Here is a 19816-nt window from a genome sequence, read left to right as displayed (position 1 = left end):
ACAAAAATTAGCTGGGCATGATAGTGCATGCCTGTAATCCCAGCTACTCAGGAGGCTGAGGCAGGAGAATCTCTTGAACCTGGGAGGCAGAGGTTGCAGAGGGCCAAGATTGTGCCACTCCACTCCAGCCTAAGCAATAGAGTGAGACTCTGCTTCAAAAAAAAATAATAATAATAATAATAATAATAATCTTACATGCCTTGCGTGACAATTTCTCTGAGATTAAAAAACAAAAAACAAAAACCACAGCAAAAGGTGGGAGAAGCATAAACGGGTTGTGAATAGGAGGGTAATTTTAGATTGCTCATAAGGAAAACGGTATAGTTCCCTGACACTCGCATATAGTCTAAAATACTGATTAAAGGGAAAAAAAATCAGAATACAGTTTTCAATATTCTGTAACGTTAGCCAAAAATAGTGGTAGAAAAATATTTATAATTTTTAAAAAATTATTTTTAAAATGTTTGTGGGTACATGGTACATGTATACATTTATGGGGTACATGAGATGTTTTGATACAGGCATGCCATGTGAAATAAGCACATCATGGAGAATGGGTTATCCATCCCCTCAAGCTTTTATACTTAGTTGCAAACAATTCAATTACATTCTTTATTTTAAAATATACAAATTATTATTGACTAGTCACCCTACTGTGCTATCGGAAATGCAAATATTTAATAAGCTTTAGTGAAAACATATATACTAGAATTAATGACATGTTTTCCAATTATTGCTTAATTAACCAATAAAAGAAAAACTCCGTAAGTTTGTTTCAGTTAGAAACACAAACTTATTTTCAAAAGGAACATCATTAACTATGTTGGTAACAACTAGCACACTTATAATGAACAGTCAAAGGTCTTATAACCTTTTCTACACAGGGCAAATTTTAATGAAAAACACTTGGCAATGTATTTTTTTTTCAAGAGACAAGCAATAGTTTGGCACCTAATATATAACCACAATGACCAAGTCAGGTGTGCAGGGTCCCCAGTACAGATTTTATTAGAGTTCAGTTATAAATACACAATCTCTTGACACTAAAGATGTACTTCTTGCAGATAAAGCCCAAAGGCAGGAAATGAATCTCCTTCCAAATGCTGCTTCTTATCTTTAAAGTAACCTCAAATTATTACTAAACTAATAAAGTAATTTTGTTTCAGAAAGTGATTTGATCTATTTTATTTCCAGCTTTTGATAAATTCAGGAGTGAGATGAGGGATTATTGCTTTCTGTCTGACAACATACACTGAAACACAACATGAAAATAAAGGAAAAACTTCTTTTTAATGACTTTTATGGTAAAGTTGGAATGGGTAATATCAAAGCCTGTCAGTATATGGAAGCAGATGTGTATGATTTTGGAGAAACAGAAAGCTAATTTTGTTATTTAACTTCATAAATTTGGAAGTAAAGCTTACATTATCTTCCAATTAGAAATTGTCAAACAGGTTGAGTAAAAAGAGTGCAATGAGATTGTACACAAACCAAATAAAACAATAACTCAAAAATGTAATTATGGACATAACTGCCTTATTTATGGAATTTTTCTAATATAATGGTACGTAGTGAATGGCCACAAACCCAAATTTGCAATCATGATTCTATTAAAAGGTCACAAAAAAGCCAGGATATCAAATACGACAGTCAAAAACAAAGTCGGATGGAGACAACACAGGAAACTTTCAGACCACTAATGATGAATAGTAATTACTGCACAGATATAATTATTATTGCAGCAATATAGCTACCACTTATTGCACTTCTGTGTTATGCACTGGACTAAACACTTAAGATACACTATTTCTAATACTTAGGTCGGGTGAGGTCCCAGCACTTTGGGAGACTGAGGTGGGAGGATCGTTTGAGGCCAGGAGTTCCAAACCAGCCTGGGCAACATAGCAAGACTTCATTTCTACGACTTTTTTTTTTTTTTTAATTAGCCAGGCGTGGTGGCACATGCCTATATTCCCAACTACTCTGGAGACTGAGATGGGAGGATTACTTGAGCCCAGGAGTTCGAGGCTGCAGTGAGCTATGATAGAGCCACTGCACTCCTGCCTAGGCAACAAAGCAAAACCCACCCCTGCCCCGTCTCTAAAAAAATAAAATACATTTTTAAAAAAGTAATGAGTCTTTACATATTTAACATAGTTTTGAAATACATTTAAAAAAACCTTATTTCAAAAGAGATATTTAAAATACTATAACCATAGTGGAAAACTACCACACCACACTTATAAAAATCATGTAGACCAGTGAGAAAGGATATAGATGTGAATAAAAGAATTAAGGTTGGACGAGATACACAAATTGTTTGCAAGGTAGAGATACACAGCCTCTTGTAATACAGTAGGGAGTGGAAGAAACTACAGCTAATCAAAGAGAGCATGCCCCACCTAAAGATATTCACATTTAAAAAAATTTTTTGAGACAGTCTCACTCTGTTGCCCAGGCTGGAGTGCACTGGCGTGATCTCAGCTCACTGCAACCTCCACCTCCTGGGCTCAAGCGATCCTCCCACCTCAGTTTTCCAAGTAGCTGGGACTACAAGTGCGGGCCACCATGCCCAGCTAATTCTTTGTATTTTTAGTAGAGACGAGGTTTCACCACATTGCCCGGGCTGGTCTTGAACTCCTGAGCTCAATCAATCCGCCCACTTTGGCCTCCCACAGTGCTGGGATTACCAGCATGAGCCACTGCGCCCAGCCGATATTCACATTTTTAAAGTTTTAAAAATTGTCACGATAACCAATTTGTTTGTGCCAATTAACAAAGCACAAATACATATTCAAACGTACATATGTATGTAAAGGTATATAGTACTTTAAAGAAAACAGGGAAAACATTCATTTCAAACATACATGAATTGTCACAAAATGTGACCATTTATTAAGATACTAAGAAAATGTAAAAAAACTACAAAAAAACAGAAGTCACATGGGCCATGGACATGTTTATAGACAAAATGAATTAGGATTAACAGCAAAAAGTGGAGGAAAAAGGCCAAATATTTGAAAATTAAAAGCCTAATTCTAAACGTTTTATATTAAAAACAGAATCAAAACAAAAATTACAAATTATGTCTAAAAAATACACAATGTGGTCACTAAATAAAAGCCTGTGGCATGCACTCAATGCAGCACTGAAGAAGAATTTACAGCTATTAATAAATTTCTTAGAAAAAAATTAATTGTAAAAGACAACAAACTAATATCAAAGGAAGATTATATGGAGATAATAAAGATAAAAGAAAAAAGTAATAAAATAGAAAACTAAAAGACAGCGGACAATGAATAATCAAAAAGCTGATTCTAGCCAGGTGTGGTGGCTGATGCTTATAATCCCTTTGGGAAGTCAAAGCAGGAGAACTGCTTGAGCCCAGGTGTTTAAGACCAGCCTGGACAACACAGCAAGACCTCATCTCTACAAAACAATTTTTTCTTTTAAATTAGCCAGATGTGGTGTCACATGCTGTAATCCCAGCTACTTAGGAGGTTGAGGTGGGAGGATTACCTGAGCCCAGGAGGTCCTGGCTACACAGTGAGACCCTGTCTCTAAATAAATGTAAATAACCAAAATTAGCTGAAAAAGTAAAATCTGGGGCCGGATGCGGTGGCTCACACCTGTAATCCCACCACTTTGGGCGGCCAAGGAGTGCGGATCACGAGGTCAGGAGTTCGAGACCAGCCTGACCAACATGGTGAAACCCTGTCTCTACTAAAAATACAATAATTAGCTGGGCATGGTGGTGTGCACCTGTAATCCCAGCTACTCAGGGAAGCTGAGGCAGGAGAATCGCTTGAGCCTGAGAGGCAAGGGTTGCAGTGAGCCGAGATCACGCCACTGCACTCCAACCTGGGCCACACAGCAAGACTCCATCTCAAAAAAAAAAAAAAAAAAAAAAAAAAGTAAAATCTGAACAATTAAAAAAAATCAGAAACTGAAATAGTGAAGGACCAATTCCAAATATATTACCTTTCATTTTAACAAAATTTCTGTTAACTGTCCTAAAACAGAGGTTCACAAATATTTTGGTCTCTTTTATACTCTTTAAAATTATTGAGTACCCAAACAGCTTTTGTTTACATGCATGGGTTTAGCTGTCAATATTTACCACAGTGGAAATTACAAGAGAAAATTTTAAGTTATTAATTCACTATAAAATAACCCATTTCATGCTAACGACATTCTTATCAAAGGTTACAAAACTTGTGAAAAATAACTAGTTTCAAAAAAATTAGAAAAGTGGAAGTATTTTGTATTTTTGCAAATCTGTTAACAAATGATTGCTGGATTCTCGTATGTGCTCTATGTTCAATTATAATATTACATGTAAGCAGCCTCTGGAAAACACCAAATACTTGTGAGACTATGAGAGTAAAAAGCAAATAATGTCTTTTTTTTTGAGACGGAGTCTCACTCTGTCACCCAGGCTGGAGTGCAGTGGTGCGATCTCGGTTCACTGCAAGCTCCGCCTCCCGGGTTCACCCCATTCTCCTGCCTTAGCCTCCCCAGTAGCTGGGACTACAGGTGGCTGCCACCACGCCCAGCTAATTTTTTGTATTTTTAGTAGAGACAGGGTTTCACTGTGTTAGCCAGGATGGTCTCGATCTCCTGACCTCATGATCCGCCCGCCTCAGCCTCCCAAAGTGCTGGGATTACAGGCGTGAGCCACCATGCCCGGCCTCAAATAGTGTCTCAGTATTCCTGTGAAAAAGTTTTGTTTTTGCAGATCCTAAGTAACTCCCAAGGACTACCCCCATTTCACACCTGTAGAGCCATTGTTTTAGAGGAAAAAAAAAAGAGGGAGAGCAAAATCAACACCAGATTAGAACAGCACAAGAAAACTACAGGCCAATGCGACTTAATAGCAAACACACTGTACACAAAAATTTTGTGTCAAAATGGATTAAAGACCTAAACATAAGGGCTAAAACTATAAAACTCTTGAAAGAAAACAGAAAACTTAATGAAACTGGATCTGGTAATGATTTCTTAGATATGACACCAAAAGCAGAGGCAACAAAAAAATTGATAAACTGGATCAGCATAATTAAAAACTTGTACAGGAAAGGACCCTTTCAGCAGAGTGAAAAGGCAACCCACCAAAAGGAGAAAATATATGCATATCATATATCTGGATAACGGACTGAAAAAAGAACTCCTACAACTCAACAAAAACAAAAACCCGGATTAAAAAATGGGCAAAGATAGCTGGGTGCGGTGGCTCACGCCTGTAATCCCAGCACTTTGGGAGGCTGAGGCGGTTGGATCAGGAGGTCAGGAGATTGAGACCATCCTGGCTAACACAGTGAAACCCCGTCTCTACTAAAAATACAAAATATTAGCTAGGCATGGTAGCAGGCGCCTATAGTCCCAGCTACTCGGGAGGCTGAGGCAGGAGAATGGTGTGAACCCGGGAGGCGGAGCTTGCAGTGAGCCAAGATCGGGCCACTGCACTCCAGCCTGGGCGACAAAGCGAGACTCCATCTCAAAAAAAAAAAAAAAAAAAAAAAAAACGCTAAGACTTGAGATACCACTTCATACCCCTTAGGATAGCTATTATCAAATAAAACAGTCAATACCCAGTGCTGTGACTTAGGGATGTAGAGAAATTGGAACTTTTGTGTATTGCTGGTAGGAATGTAAAATGATACAGCCACTGTGGTGGTTCCTCAAGACTGAAACAGTCCTCAAAAACTTAAACACAGAATTACTATATGATCCAACAATTCCCCCTCCACCCCCCAAAGTATACAGTTGGCCCTCTGTATCTGTGGGTTCCATCTATGTGGATCCAACCAACCATGGTTTGAAAATATTTGGAAAAAAAAACTGCCTGTACTGAAGATGTATAGGCTTTTTTCCTTGTTATTATTCCCTAAACAATAGAGTATAACTATTTACATAGTATTTACATTGTATTAGGTATTACAAGTAATCCAGAAATGATTGAAAGTATATGGGAGAACGTGCATAGGTTATGTGCAAATACTATGCCATTTTATATCAGGGACTTGGGCATTCACAGATTTTCATATCTGTGGGAGGAAGGACCTCAAACCAGTCCCCCAAGGACACCAAGGGACAATTGTACACTCAAAAGAACTGAAGGCAGGAAATGAAATGGTTACTTATACAGCCATGTTCATAGCAGCATTATTCACAACAGCCAAAAGGTCCAGGCATGGATGAACAGATTAAACAAAATGTGATACACATATACAATGGAGAAGAAAATTCTGACACATGCTATACCATGGATGAACCCTGAGGACATTATGCTAAGTGAAATAACCCCGTCACAAAAAGACAAATACTATATGATTCCACGTATATGAGGTATCTGGAATGGTCAAATTTATAGACACAAAGTAGAATGGTGGTTGCTAAGGGCTGGGCAGGGCACTGGGGGAAGGGGAGTTATTATATAATGAGTATACACTTTCAGTTTGGGAAGATAAAAAAGTTCTCAAAATAGACCATGGTAATAGTTGAACAACAGTGTAAATGCATTTAATGCTACTGAACTACACACTTAATGCTTAAATGGTAAATTTTATGTTATGCATATTTTACAATTTAAAAAACAGCAAATAAAATTCAGTTGCACATTTAAAGAATAATACACCAAGACTAAGTACAGTTTATCCTAGTATTTTAAAGAGTGGTTTCACTTTTGAAAAAAATCTATCAATGTAATTCACAATAGTAACAGATGCTGAAAAAAGAGCTGACAAAATTCAATCCCTAATTAAAATGTTTAGCAACTAAAGTTATTGGTTAATTTTGAGAATTGATCCTGTGTTAACAAACATCACCAAAGTCTCAAGGCTTACAATACAAAGGTTTATTTCTCGCTCATGCTACATGTCCATTGTGGACGGCTGTGGCTCCTCACTGTCTTCATTCTAGGACTGAAGCTGAAGGCACAGTACCTATATGCAACATATTGTTCATATGGCAGAGGGGAGAAAAGCAATGACTTAATCAAGCAATGACTCCTGAAGTTTTGCTCAGATACAGCATACATCACTTCCACTGGCTAAAGCAAGCCTCATGGCTAAGCCTGATATCAAGAAGGTAGGAAGTATACTCTCTCACAGGGAGGTGCACCTGGTAGAAGGACTCTATTATAGAGATAAACTCAGTAGAGAGGATTGCCGAATAGTTGTAAATAAGATGATTTGTGAATGACAAATCTACAATACGGAGAAACTCCCTTAATTTGAAAAAGGATATTTACCATGAACCTAGCATGAATAGCATACTTAATGATGAAACATTAGAAATATCTTCATAAGGTCAGAAACAAGAAAAGGATGCCTGCTATTACCACTATATTTCAACAATACTCTTGAGGTTCTACTCAATGCAATTAGACCAGAAAAAAAATTAGTATTAAAATCATTTTCAGGTACTATGATTACCTACTCAGAAAATCCAGAGAATTTTAACCTATTATTACAAGTAATAGAAGAGTTTAGCAAGGTGCTCAGATACTATATCCACATACAAAAAAAATCCTTAGATATATACATAAAATATGATGTATGTACAAATGTGTGTGTGTATAATTACTACTGCTGTGTATCAGCAATAAATGCTTAGAAAATGTAATAACTTTAAAAGATCCCAATCAATCATATGGGATATTAAGTCAATTAGCTGTGTAATCTCAGGCAAGTTATTTAAACTTTCTGCCTGTTTCCTCAACTATAAAATGAGAATAATGACATCTTATTTCTCTGATTCTAAAACACAGATTCTTCATATTTTAATCTCTCAGAAATCAATGACTTATTAAAAAAATGCTGTCACCCAGGAAGCAATAATGATGTTCTGTATGAAAAGTTTTCATTGACACTTTCTGGTAACACCAAGAAAGCATCAATATCAAAGCAGCTTAGATTTGATAAAATATGGTAAACCAATTAACATGATTACATGAGATAATTCATATCAAACACGTAAAGCCATATCTAACATAAACAAAGTACTCAATAAACTTTAGCTTTTCTTATTCTTTGTCCTATCATATATTAAAAGAGATTATAATGCTAGAGTAATTGAAATAATATGGTATTGAACCAGGATTAAAGAAAAAAAATCAATGAAACAGAATAGTCCAAAAAAACAAATCTACATATTTATGGAAATTTAATATATAATAAATGAGCCATTTTATGTCAGTGGGGAAAGCCCAGACTGGTAGTTCTCAATTGTATCATACCCAATACTCTTTTTGTTTTTTGTTTTTAATTTTGAGACAGGGTCTTGCTCTGCCTCCCAGTTTCAAGCAATTCTCCTGCCTCAGCCTCCCGAGTAGCTGGGACTACAGATGTGCACCACCACACCCAGCTAATTTTTGTATTTTTAGTAGAGACGTGGTTTCACCATGTTGGCCAGGATGGTCTCAAACTCCTGACCTCAGGTGATCCACCCGCCTTGGCCTACCAAAGTGCTGGGATTACAGGCATGAGCCACCACTTGAGCCTGGGACATCAAGGCTACAGTGGGCCATGATCAAAAAAATGAAATAAAATAAAATAAGCAGTTTTTCATCTATATGCATGTTTAGAGGGATTTCACCTATATGAATGGGGGCATGAGATGCACAGTATCTACCACCCCGGTCCTCATCAAAAACTGGTGCCAACACCGGGCATGGTGGCTCACGCCTGTAATCCCAGCACTTTGGGAGGCCGAGGCGGGTCACTAGGTCAGGAGATCGAGACCATCCTGGCTAACATGGTGAAACCCCGTCTCTACTAAAAATACAAAAAAATTAGCTGGGCGTGGTGGCGGGCGCCTGTAGTCCCAGCTACTCCGGAGGCTGAGGCAGGAGAATGGCGTGAACCCGGGAGGTGAAGCTTGCAGTGAGCCGAGATCGCGCCACTGCACTCCAGCCTGGGTGACAGAGTAAGACTCCGTCTGAAAAACAAAACAAAACAAAACAAAAAACTGGTGCCAACAACACCCTACCTAAGTTAACTCTGATAAGCGCCAGGCATGGTGGCTCACACCTACAGTTCCAGCACTTTGGGAGGCCGAAGTGGGCAGATCACTTGAGCCCCAGGAGTTCAAGACCAGCCTGGGCCAACATGGTGAAATCCTGTCTCTACAAAAAAAAAATACAAAAATTAGCTGGGCATGGTGGCACGTGCCTGTAGTCCCAGCTAATCAGCAGGCTGAAACGGGAGGATCGCTTGAGTCCTGGACGCAGAGGTTGCAGTGAGCTGTCACTGCACCACTTCACTCCAGCCTGGGAGAGAGAGTAAGACCCTGTCTCAAATAAAGAAAGAAAGAAAGAAATAAAACAATTATGATAAGTAAAAGCCACTCCACAAATTTCTGAATTTCCTCTTGAAGTAGCAGCATACCCATTGAAAACCCTTGGGATAGACTGTTCAAAAAATATATATATATATCCGGACAATGGGATGTCAATTTTGTTGAAAATTAAATATAGCCTAATCTCCTCAAAATATTCCTAGGTCACTGGAAGGCAAAGTTGTGTAATTTCACATGATAAAAAGCACATTTGAACACAACTTCTATTTGTGTTCCCTTTCCAAATAATAAACAAGATTGACCCTTTGAAGTCAACCTGATCTTTGCCAGTCCCCTACTAACCCTTTTTCTATTGTTTCTGAAATCCATTCTCTGAAACTCTGGAAATTCCATTATGAACAAACTAACTCTCAGAGGGAGTACATTACATTGTTTAAAAGCATGGACTTGAATCAGGCAGACCTGAATTCAAAATTTAGCTCTATTATCTAAGTACCCTGTGTGTGCTATTGACCAGTTAACTTCTTGACACCCTAGTTTCCTTAGCTGTAAAATCTCTCATTTTTCCTTAGCTGCTTCTCTTTCAGCTGAAACCTGCACAGATTATCTCTATCCTAAGACAACAACAAAAAGGAAAATTACAATGACCGTACCATTATAGGTATTCCTTGTTTTATTGTGCTTCACGGATGTTTTACTACAAATTGAAGATGTGTGGCAACCCAGCATTGAGTAAGTCTATCAGTGCCATTTTTCCAACAGCATGTGTTCACTTCATGTCAGTGTGTCACATTTTGGTAATTCTCACAATATTTCAAACTTTTTCATTATTACATGTTACAATGATCTGTAATCAACAATCTTTGGTGTTATTAACGTATCTGTTTGGGGAAGCCATGTACCATGCCCAGATAAAATGGGTAACTTAACTGATACATGTTGTGTGTTTTCTGACTGACTGCTCCACCAACCGGTGTTTTCCTCTCTCCTCTCTCCCTCTCCTCAGGCCTTCCTATTCCTTGAGACGCAACAATACTGAAATTAGGTCAACTAATAACCCTACAATGGCCTTTAAGTGTTCAAGTGAAAGAAAGAGTAGCAGGTTTCTTACTTTAAATCAAAAGCTGGAAATGATTAAGCTGATTGAGGAAGGCATGCTGAAAGGCGAGACAGGCTGAAAGCTAGGCTTCTTGCAGTCAAACAGTCAAGTTCTGAATGCAAAGGAAAAGTTATGGAAGGAAATTAAAAGTTGCTACTCCAGTGAACACATGAATGATAAGAAGGCAAACAGCCTTATTGCTGATATGGAGAGAATTTTAGTAGTCTGAAGAGAAGATCAAACTAGCCACAATGTTCCCTTAAGCCAATTTAGAAGCTGCAGTAAGTTATCCAGAAAACCTAACAGGGACCATCAATGAAAGTGGCTACAATAAACAACAGATTCTCAATGTAGACAAAACAGCCTTCTATTGGAAGAAGATGCCATCTAGGACTTTCAAAGCCCAAGAGAAGTCAACGCTTGGCTTCAAAGCTTCAAAGGCTGACTCTCATTGACAATTTGAAAAATGCTAGGGCCCTTAAAAATTATGCTAAATCTACTTGCCTGTGCTCTATAAATGAAACAACAAAGCCTACATGACAGCACATCTGTTTACAGCTTGGTTTACTGAATATTTTAATCCCGTCATGGAGACCCACTGCTTGAAAAAAAAGATTCCTTTCAAAATACTGCTGACAATGCATCGGGTTATCACGAGCTCTGACAGAGATGTACAAGGAGATGAATGTTGTTTTCAGGCCTATCAACACACTATCCATTCTGGAGCAAATGGTTCAAGGAGTAATTCTGACCTTCAAGGCTTATTTAAGAAATACATTTCAAGGCCAGGTGTGGTGGCTCATACCTGTAACCCCAGCACTTTGGGAAGCCAAGGCAGGTAGATTGCTTGAGCTCAGGAGTTTGAGACCATACTGGGCAACATGGTGAGACCCCTGTCTCTACCAAAAAAAAAAAAAAAAAAAAAATAGCTGGGTGTGGTGGTGAGTGCCTGTGGCCCATGCTACTCAGGAGGCTGACTGAGGTGGGAGGATCGTTTGAGCCCAGGCGACAGAGGTTGCAGTGAACCAAGATCGCACCACTGCACTCCAGCCAGAGTGACAAAGCGAGACCTTGTCTCGAAAAAACAAAAATACATTTCATAAACTCTACAGCTTCCACAGACAGTGATTCCTCTGACAGATGTGGGCAAGTAAACTGAAAACCTTCTGGAAGAAATTCAACAGTCTAGAAGCCATTAAGAACACTTGTGATTCATGGGTGGAGGCCAAACATCATTAACATGAGTTTGGAAGAAGCTGATTCCAACTCTCATGAATGACTTTGAGGGCTTCAAGACTTCAGTAGATGAAGTGGCTACAGATGGGGTAGAAATGGCAAGAGAACTAGAATTACAAATGGAGTCTGAAGATGTGACTGAACTGCTCATGATAAAACTTGAATTGATGACAATCTCATGATAAAACTTGAATTGATGACAAATTTCTTCTACTGGATGAGCAAAGAAAATGGTTTCTTTTCTTTTTGAGACAGTCTCGCTCTGTCGCCCAAGCTGGAGTGCAGTGGCATGATCTTGGCTCACTGCAACCTCCACCTCCTGGGCTCATATGATTCTCCTGCCTCAGTCTTCTGAGTAGCTGGGATTACAGGCGCACGCCACCACAACTGGCTAACTTTTTTATTTTTTAGTAGAGACGGGGTTTCACCATGTTGGCCAGGCTGGTCTTGAACTCCTGACCTCAGGTGATTCGCCTACTTCAGTCTCCCAAAGTGCTGGGATTATAGGCATGAGCCACTGCACTGGTTTCTTTTCTTTTCTTTTTTTTTTTTTTGAGACAGTCTCGCTCTGTCGCCCAGGCTGGAGTGCAGTGGTATGATCTCAGCTCACTGCAAGCTCTGCCTCCCTGGTTCATGCCATTCTCCTGCCTCAGCCTCCGGAGTAGCTGGGACTACAGGCGCCCGCCACCATGCCCGGCTAATTTTTTGTATTTTTAGTAGAGACGGGGTTTCACCATGTTAGCCAGGATGGTCTTGATCTCCTGACCTTGTGATCCGCCCGCCTCGGCCTCCCAAAGTGCTGGGATTACAAGCGTGAGCCACCGCGCCTGGCCTTGCACTGGTTTCTTTATATAGAATCTACTCATGGTGACGACGTGAGCATTGTTGAAATGACAACAAAGAATTTAGATTATTACATAAACTTAGTTGATAAAACAGCAGCAGGATTTGAGAGGACTGACTCCAATTTTTAAAGTTCTACTGTGGGTAAATGCTATCAAACAGCATCACATGTTACCGAGAAATAATTCATTAAAGGAAGAGTCGATCAATGCAGCAAACTTCATTTTTGTCTTAAGAAATTGCTACGGCCACCCAGCCTTCAGCAAACATCACCTGATCAGTCAGCAGCCATTAACATTGAGACAAAACCCTCCACCAGCAAAAAGATTATTGCTGGCTAAAGGCTCACATGATCATTAGCATTTTTTAGCATAAAGTATTTTAAAATTATGGTATAGGCATTTTTTTAGCTATAATGCTATTACACACTTTAAAAACTACAGCATAGCATAAACATAACTTTTATATACACTAGGAAACAAAAAACTTACATGACTTGCTTTACTGAGATATTTACTTTATTGCAGTGGTCTGGAACCATACCCACAATATCAGTGAGGTATACCTGTGTATCTTTGAACTATCATTTCCATCTCTTCCTCTCTCTCTTCCCTGTCAAACTCTTCAAAATAAGATTACTAATTAAATTTTAAAAGTTACTATTCAGATGAGAGGACAATAAAAGACAGAGAAACTGTAGAGCTAAAGAAAATATATTGAAGACTAAAATAACACCAATAGAGCTAATAAATTAGAAACAGTAAGAAACAGAAAAGCTATAACTGAAACACTGACAAAAGTTTAATCTTAGTAGAGAGAAAAAGACATAGACTGAGTAATTTCCCTAAATACCTGTTTAATTTTCCTTATCCTGCTCTACTTTTTCACAGCTCTGTAATCTTCTAAATTCACATGTAACTTACTTATCTGTTATGTTAATTACTTATCACCCCCCACCACCACCACCTTGAGAATATAAGTGCCATAAAGGCAGTGGCTTTTGTTATGTTTCACTGGCACAGGGCAAGTGATCAATAAATATCTGTTGAATGCATTAATAAATGCATGACGATGATATGAAAGACAAAGATGATCCTCCAAAATGATAACCCAGCACATGGATGACAGTAAATTTCAATGAAATGAAGAAAAAGCTAAATATTTAGAGAAAAAGAAACAGTGTATTCCTGGAAAAAACAATTCAACATTATTTGCAGCAAGACACATTGAGTTAAAAAGGCTATATACTCTCCAGTAGTCCAAGCCAATTAAAAAAAGTCTAGAAGTAGGGATAAAAGAAACTATAGTGTTGTACTTCCTCATAAGAACATTAAGTACCAGAAAAAATCACTAATGTCTGTAAGATTTTGAAATAAATTGTTATTGTAGAAATATTACACCCAATCAAGTAGATATTTAAGTGACAAAAGCAATGGGCAAGCATTATTTAACAATCAAAAACTTAAGAAATAATGCCCCAATGAGCACATGTTGAAAAACTATGAAATTAAGTCAAAGACCTCAGAAATGGAAAACAATGGTTAAAAAGACTAGTGGACGCTGGGCATAGTGGCTCACACTTCTAATCCCAGTACTTTGAGAGGCTGAGGCAGGAGGATCATTTGAAGCCAGGGGCTCCAGAACAGCCTGGGCAACATAGTGAGACTCTGTCTCAACAAAAAAATAAAAAAAAATTAGGCAGGCATGGTAGTGCATGACTGTAGTCTCAGCTACTTGGGAGGCTGAGGTGGGAGAATTGCTTGAGCCCAGGAGGTTGAGGCTACAGTGAGCTGTGACAGAGCCACTGCACTCTAGCCTGGACAACAGTGAGTCCCTGTCTCAAAATGAAATATTTTAAAAAAGAAAAAGAAAAATAAGGAGGACAGAATTTTCTTGCCATCTCCCCACTTCTAATAGAATTGTCTTAGTTCCATCCTTTTCCTTTTCTCTCTTCTTGCTTTTTCACTCTTAGCCAGTATGTTAAGGATGAAATTTTAGCAAATTGCAAAATTACTTTAAATCCCTCACTGTTTGATATACTCGGTACCATAAATTTACTAGTAATTCAGTTTAATAGCATATGAGAAAAGTTCACAAATTCTCAGCCATCATTAAAATAACCTAAATTTCCCAACATTTTCACAATATGCTTTGTCTTATCTATGTACAACTGTCTTTTTATTTGAACTATACTAGACTATATCTACAGAAGTAAGGCATTATCTGATTAAAACTGATGAAAAACCACAACTAAAACATTTTATTGATTTGGATGTACTATAATGTTCAGACAGATTAAAATTTTAACTTTTTCTTACCAATAGTAAGCCAAACAGGCTTCCAGCTAAAATAAGATTAATTTTTCATTAGGAAAACCAAACCTTCAACTTACTTTTTCAAGAAAATTTTTAAAAAGATTAAAGAGGAGAAATATCAAGAAATAGTGAAAGGAATGGAAGTGTATACACTTATGTAATCCTGTAACTTGCTAATGCTTCTTACTTTGGGAATACACAATTATGGTTATCTTTTTTTTTTTAAGCACTCACTTCCTTGTATTCGTCAAAATTATAACAAAATAATAATATGATTTTGAAAAAAAACTCACACTACCATGCTAAAAAGTAATCATTTTCATTTATTATTTTTTACTTATCTGTGCACCTATAGCATTGTACAACCCTAAGTATTCAATTTTGTATCCTTATTTCATCTACCTCATGCTTTTAAAATGTCCCAATATTTTCTCTCCTAGTCTTCTATCAGATAAAATGTGTTATATCTTTTTACATTTTAATATGATTTGGAAACTAAATACACTATGGGAAATCCTTAAAATTCACCATAATTTTTCTTAAAAAATAGTTGAAAATACAGAAAAGTATAAAAAAAAAAATCATGCCAGGCGTGGTGGCTCACACCTGTAATCCCAGCACTTGGGGACACCAAAGCAGGAGGATCACTTGAGGCCTGGAGTTCAAAATGAGCCTGGGCAATATAGCGAGACCCCCATCTCTACAAATTAAAAAAAAAAAAACAAAAAAACCACTCATTGTCTGCCATACAAAGATAACTACCATTAATATGAAATGCTTTATTGTCTTTTTTCCTTTTATCTATAACAAATTTGTATATATTTTTTCACTAAATGTTATTTCATGATGAATGTGATAGCCGTAGTATTGCACACACTTTACTTACTCATGCTTTCACTGTTGAAAGCTGGACTGGTCTTAAATTTTTACGATCATAAAGAGACCCAAGATAAATGCTTTTGAATACCTAAAAATATATTATATCAATTTCTGACAATTCCAAGACAAAATTTTAGAAAAGAAAATATTGGCAAGGTTTCTGTCTCCTGACTGATAATATTGGGTAAACAATAGTCAACTTTTAAAAGATTTATACTAATTTTTGGAATTGCTTTCCAGAAAAGGTCCATCTGCTTCCAAAAATGTGCATTAATTTATAACAAAAATTCGAGTGCAATTTCACAAAGATCTTGCCATTTCATTTTTAAAAAGTATTTGGCTAATATGATGGCAAAAAATGGTAGCTCACTATTGTCCTAAGTTTACATTTCTTATAGTAAAATTGAGTATTTTTAATGTTCATTAGATATTTCTATTTTTTCTATATTTGTCTCTAAATGTGTTTTCCTCTTTTTTTTCTGCTAGGGTTTTAATGTTTCCCTTATAATTTCTATAAATGCTTAACCTATAAAAGGAATATACTATGGCTTCTGAGTAATTTTATATATATAATTTTATATATATATATAACTACATATACATATATACACATACTAAGTTCACAGCCAGGTGCAGTGGCTCACACCTATAAGCCCAACACTTTGGGAGGCCAAAGCAGGTGGATCACTTGAGCCCAGGAGTTCAAGAGCAGCCTAGGCAACGCAGTGAGACTCTGTCTCTACAAAAAATAAATTAAAAAATTAGCCAGGCATGGTGGTGTGTGCCTGTGGTCCCAGCTACTTGGGAGGCTGAGGTGAGAGGCGTGCTTCGGCCTGGGAGGTTGAGGCTGCCATGAGTTGTGACTGCACAAATTGCACTCCATCCTGGGTGAAAGAGCAAGATCCTGTCTCAAAAAATGAAAAAAAATAATAAGTAATGTAAATTAAATAAAATGTAAAACTAAGTTAATAAATTTTAGCTATCTAAACTTAATACTCTCTTTTAAAGTGGTTAAAAAGTTTTGTCTCTTTATCCAAAAGCAACAACTAGGCCAGTTACAGTAGTTCACACCTATAATCCCGACACTTTGGGAGGCTGAGGCACAAGGATCACTAGAGGCCAGGAGTCTGAGACCAGCCTGGGAAACAGAGGGAGACCCTGTCTCTACAAAAAATAAACAAATTAGCCAGATGTGGTGGCACATCCCTGTGGTGCCAGCTACTGGAGTGTTTAAGTGAGAGGATCACTTGAGCCCAGAAGGTAGAGGTTGCAGTGAGCCGTGATCATACCACTGCACTCCAGCCTGGGCAGCAGAGCAAAACCTTGTCTCCAAAAAAAGTGCAACAATTTTCAGATTCTATACATCGTATCTCTTAATGGCATATAAATTATGTTACAAAACTAGATTTCACAAGTATACCATTGTTTAGAAATAAACATTTCAATTGCCGACATTAAAAGGAAAATTCATTATGCTCTGCAAAATGGGCAGGCATTTATCATAGATAAACATCTAAAAAACAGTTCTAGGTTTAATCTGTCATGCAACATCTAACCATCTTGGTCACTTAACACTCATTAAATATCTGTTATCAAAAATACTTTTGAGAACAATCATACAGACCAGTGGTCAGCAAGTTGTAGGCTATGGGTCAAATACAGCCCATCTCCATTTTTGTAAATAAAATTTTATTAAAACACATTTATTACTCATGCTCATAATTTACATATTGCCTAATGGCTGCTTTCACACTGAGAATGAAGTTGTACAGTTGCCCTGCAAGGCCTAAAACATTTACTATCTGGATCTTTACAATACAGACAGCTAAAACACCTGAATAAATAATCTTACTAATTTTTAGAAGCTAGCCTAGGCCAGGCATGGTGGCTCACACTTGTAATCCTAGCACTTTGGGAGGCCAAGGTGGGCGTTTTACTTTGAGCTCAAGAGCTTGAGACCCGCCTGGGCAACATGGCGAAACCCTGTCTCTACAAAAAAATACAAAAATGAGCCGAGAGTGGTGTCTCGCACCGGTGGTCCCAGCTACTCAGGAGGCGGAGGCTAAAAGATTGCTCAGGCTGGGAAGCGGAGGTTGCAGTGACCCAAAATCGCACCACTGCACTCCAGCCTGGGCAATAGAACAAGACTCTGTTTCAAAAAATAAATACGAAGCTAGGCTAGATGGCCAGATCCTAACTCATAGAGCTCATACTTTATCTAGTACAGTGACAAGACATGTATGTAAACAACTTATAATGCAAGCTTTTAAAAGCTAAGTGCAATAAGAAAGGTAAAGAGTGTAAGAAAAAGGAAGAGATTCTTTCCAGTGAGGAAAATCAAAGAAGGTATCTTGAAAGAAGTAGCTTTTGCGCTGGGTTTTGAAGGATGGCTATAATTTGGACATTAAAAAAATGGGGAGAAGACTTCCAGTGTAAAGAAAAGCAGAGCTGTGAAAAACTGCAAGCACGACAGTGTACTTTTTATGGAGGAACAGTTAGGAGAAAATGCTAGTAAGCATTCTAGGGGCAAAGCATAGAGAAGGTTTTCAAAGTCAAGATTAGCACTTTAGATTTTAAATATAATTACGTTCAGGACTGAGGATCAGTGATTATAACTGTGCTTTAGGAAGATCAATCTGACAATATCATAAATAATTTGAGAAGACAGATAATAAGGAAACTAGTTATGAAACAATTAAAATAATCCAACAGAAAAGAATGAACATGGTGACAGTGAGACCGGAAAATTATGACAGCAAAACCACTCACTTATGAATTGATAGCAGCATCAGAATATGCTTTCTTACTCATATGGTGTAAAAACTTTCACCACCCCCCCAACCATCTCTCCCACCTTGAACAAAATGATAATTATTTCTAACTTATTCTGACAATTTGAAAAAGAGGATCTACTAGGCCACGCATGGTGGCTCACGCCTGCAATCACAGCACTTTGGGAGGCTGAGGCAGGCAGATCCCTTGAGGCCAGGAGTTCAAGACCAGCCTGGCCAACATGGCAAAACCCCATCTCTACAAAAAATACAAAAATTAGCTGGGCCTGGTGGCGAACGCCTGTGATCCCAGCTACTTGGGAGGCTGAGGCACAAGAACTGCTTTAACTTGGGAGGTGGAGGCTGCAGTGACCCGAGATGCCGCCACTGCACTCCAGCCTGGATGACAGAGCTAGACTCTGTCTCAAAAAAGAAAGGAGGAACTGCTTAAATTATAATTAAAAGGGATAGACTACCACTTTCCCACTAAACTAACCCTGGATGCAAGCACAAAATGAAAACAATTCATGTGCTAGGGCTCCCTCTGCTGGACCACTAGAGAAAAAATCTGATCTTAAATGCTGCTGAATTGATAAAAAGAACAGATAAATTGGCTTCATAGCAGCTCCTTTCCAGGTGTATCAAATGCTTTCCTCAGGAGGGGAATAAGAAATTATCTTTCTTCTATATTTTCCACAGCACTAATAATTTAATTGTTGCTTAAATTGTTGACTAATTATGAAAGAGATTTTAATATATAGTCAAATCACACAAATTTTTTTTTAATCTTTTTTTTTGAGACGGAGTCTCGTTCTGTCACCCAGGCTGGAGTGCAGTGGCTTGATATCAGCTCACTCAACCTCTGCCTCCAGGGTTCAAGTGATTTTCCTGCCTCAGCCTGAGTAGCTGGGATTACAGGTGCCCACCACCATGTCCAGCTAATTTTTGTATTTTTAGTAGAGATGGTGTTTCACCATATTGGCCAGGCTGGTCTTGAACTACTGACCTCAAGTGATCTGCCCACCTCAGCCTCCCAAAGTGCTGGGATTATAGGCCTGAGCCACCATGACTGGCCAAATCTCACAAATATTTAAATATACTCAATAAATTTACTTCTCAGTAAAAAGACAAGCTGGAATTAACCAGACTGATTTTTTTATAGGTAAGGAAATTATTCTAAGGAATGGTTTTATATTCCGTTCACTAAGAAATAAGCTGCAGCTCCCTTGTCCATTGGCTTTGACCGGAAGGTAGGAGAACCTTTCTCTCTAAGACTGAATCTCCCAAATGTTTCTGCTCCTTCTGGACAAGCCCAGTTCCCACCAGGTAACTCTGGTCCCCAGCCTCCAAGAACCATCTCCTACTTGTATCCC

The 19816-nt window shown here is 38.0% G+C and overlaps 1 protein-coding gene across 6 annotated transcripts in view, besides 1 other annotated feature; it reads right to left on the bottom strand.

Annotated features, from left to right (window-relative positions):
- The window catches only part of NSRP1 (nuclear speckle splicing regulatory protein 1), a 69660-nt gene that overhangs the window by 42041 nt on the left and 7803 nt on the right, over positions 1-19816 (bottom strand). The window lies entirely within an intron of this gene.
- Positions 2537-3038: an enhancer, noted in NCBI's record as "H3K4me1 hESC enhancer chr17:28468415-28468916 (GRCh37/hg19 assembly coordinates)". NCBI's record gives its function as "activates a minimal SCP1, AML or CMV promoter by ChIP-STARR-seq in naive H9 embryonic stem cells {active_cell/tissue: H9 hESC(naive)}" and the evidence as "EXISTENCE:reporter gene assay evidence [ECO:0000049][PMID:30033119]".

This window comes from Homo sapiens, chromosome 17 (assembly GCF_000001405.40).
Source record: "Homo sapiens chromosome 17, GRCh38.p14 Primary Assembly".
NCBI classification, from domain to species: domain Eukaryota; kingdom Metazoa; phylum Chordata; class Mammalia; order Primates; family Hominidae; genus Homo; species Homo sapiens.
This window is presented reverse-complemented; position numbering and strand designations above follow the sequence as displayed.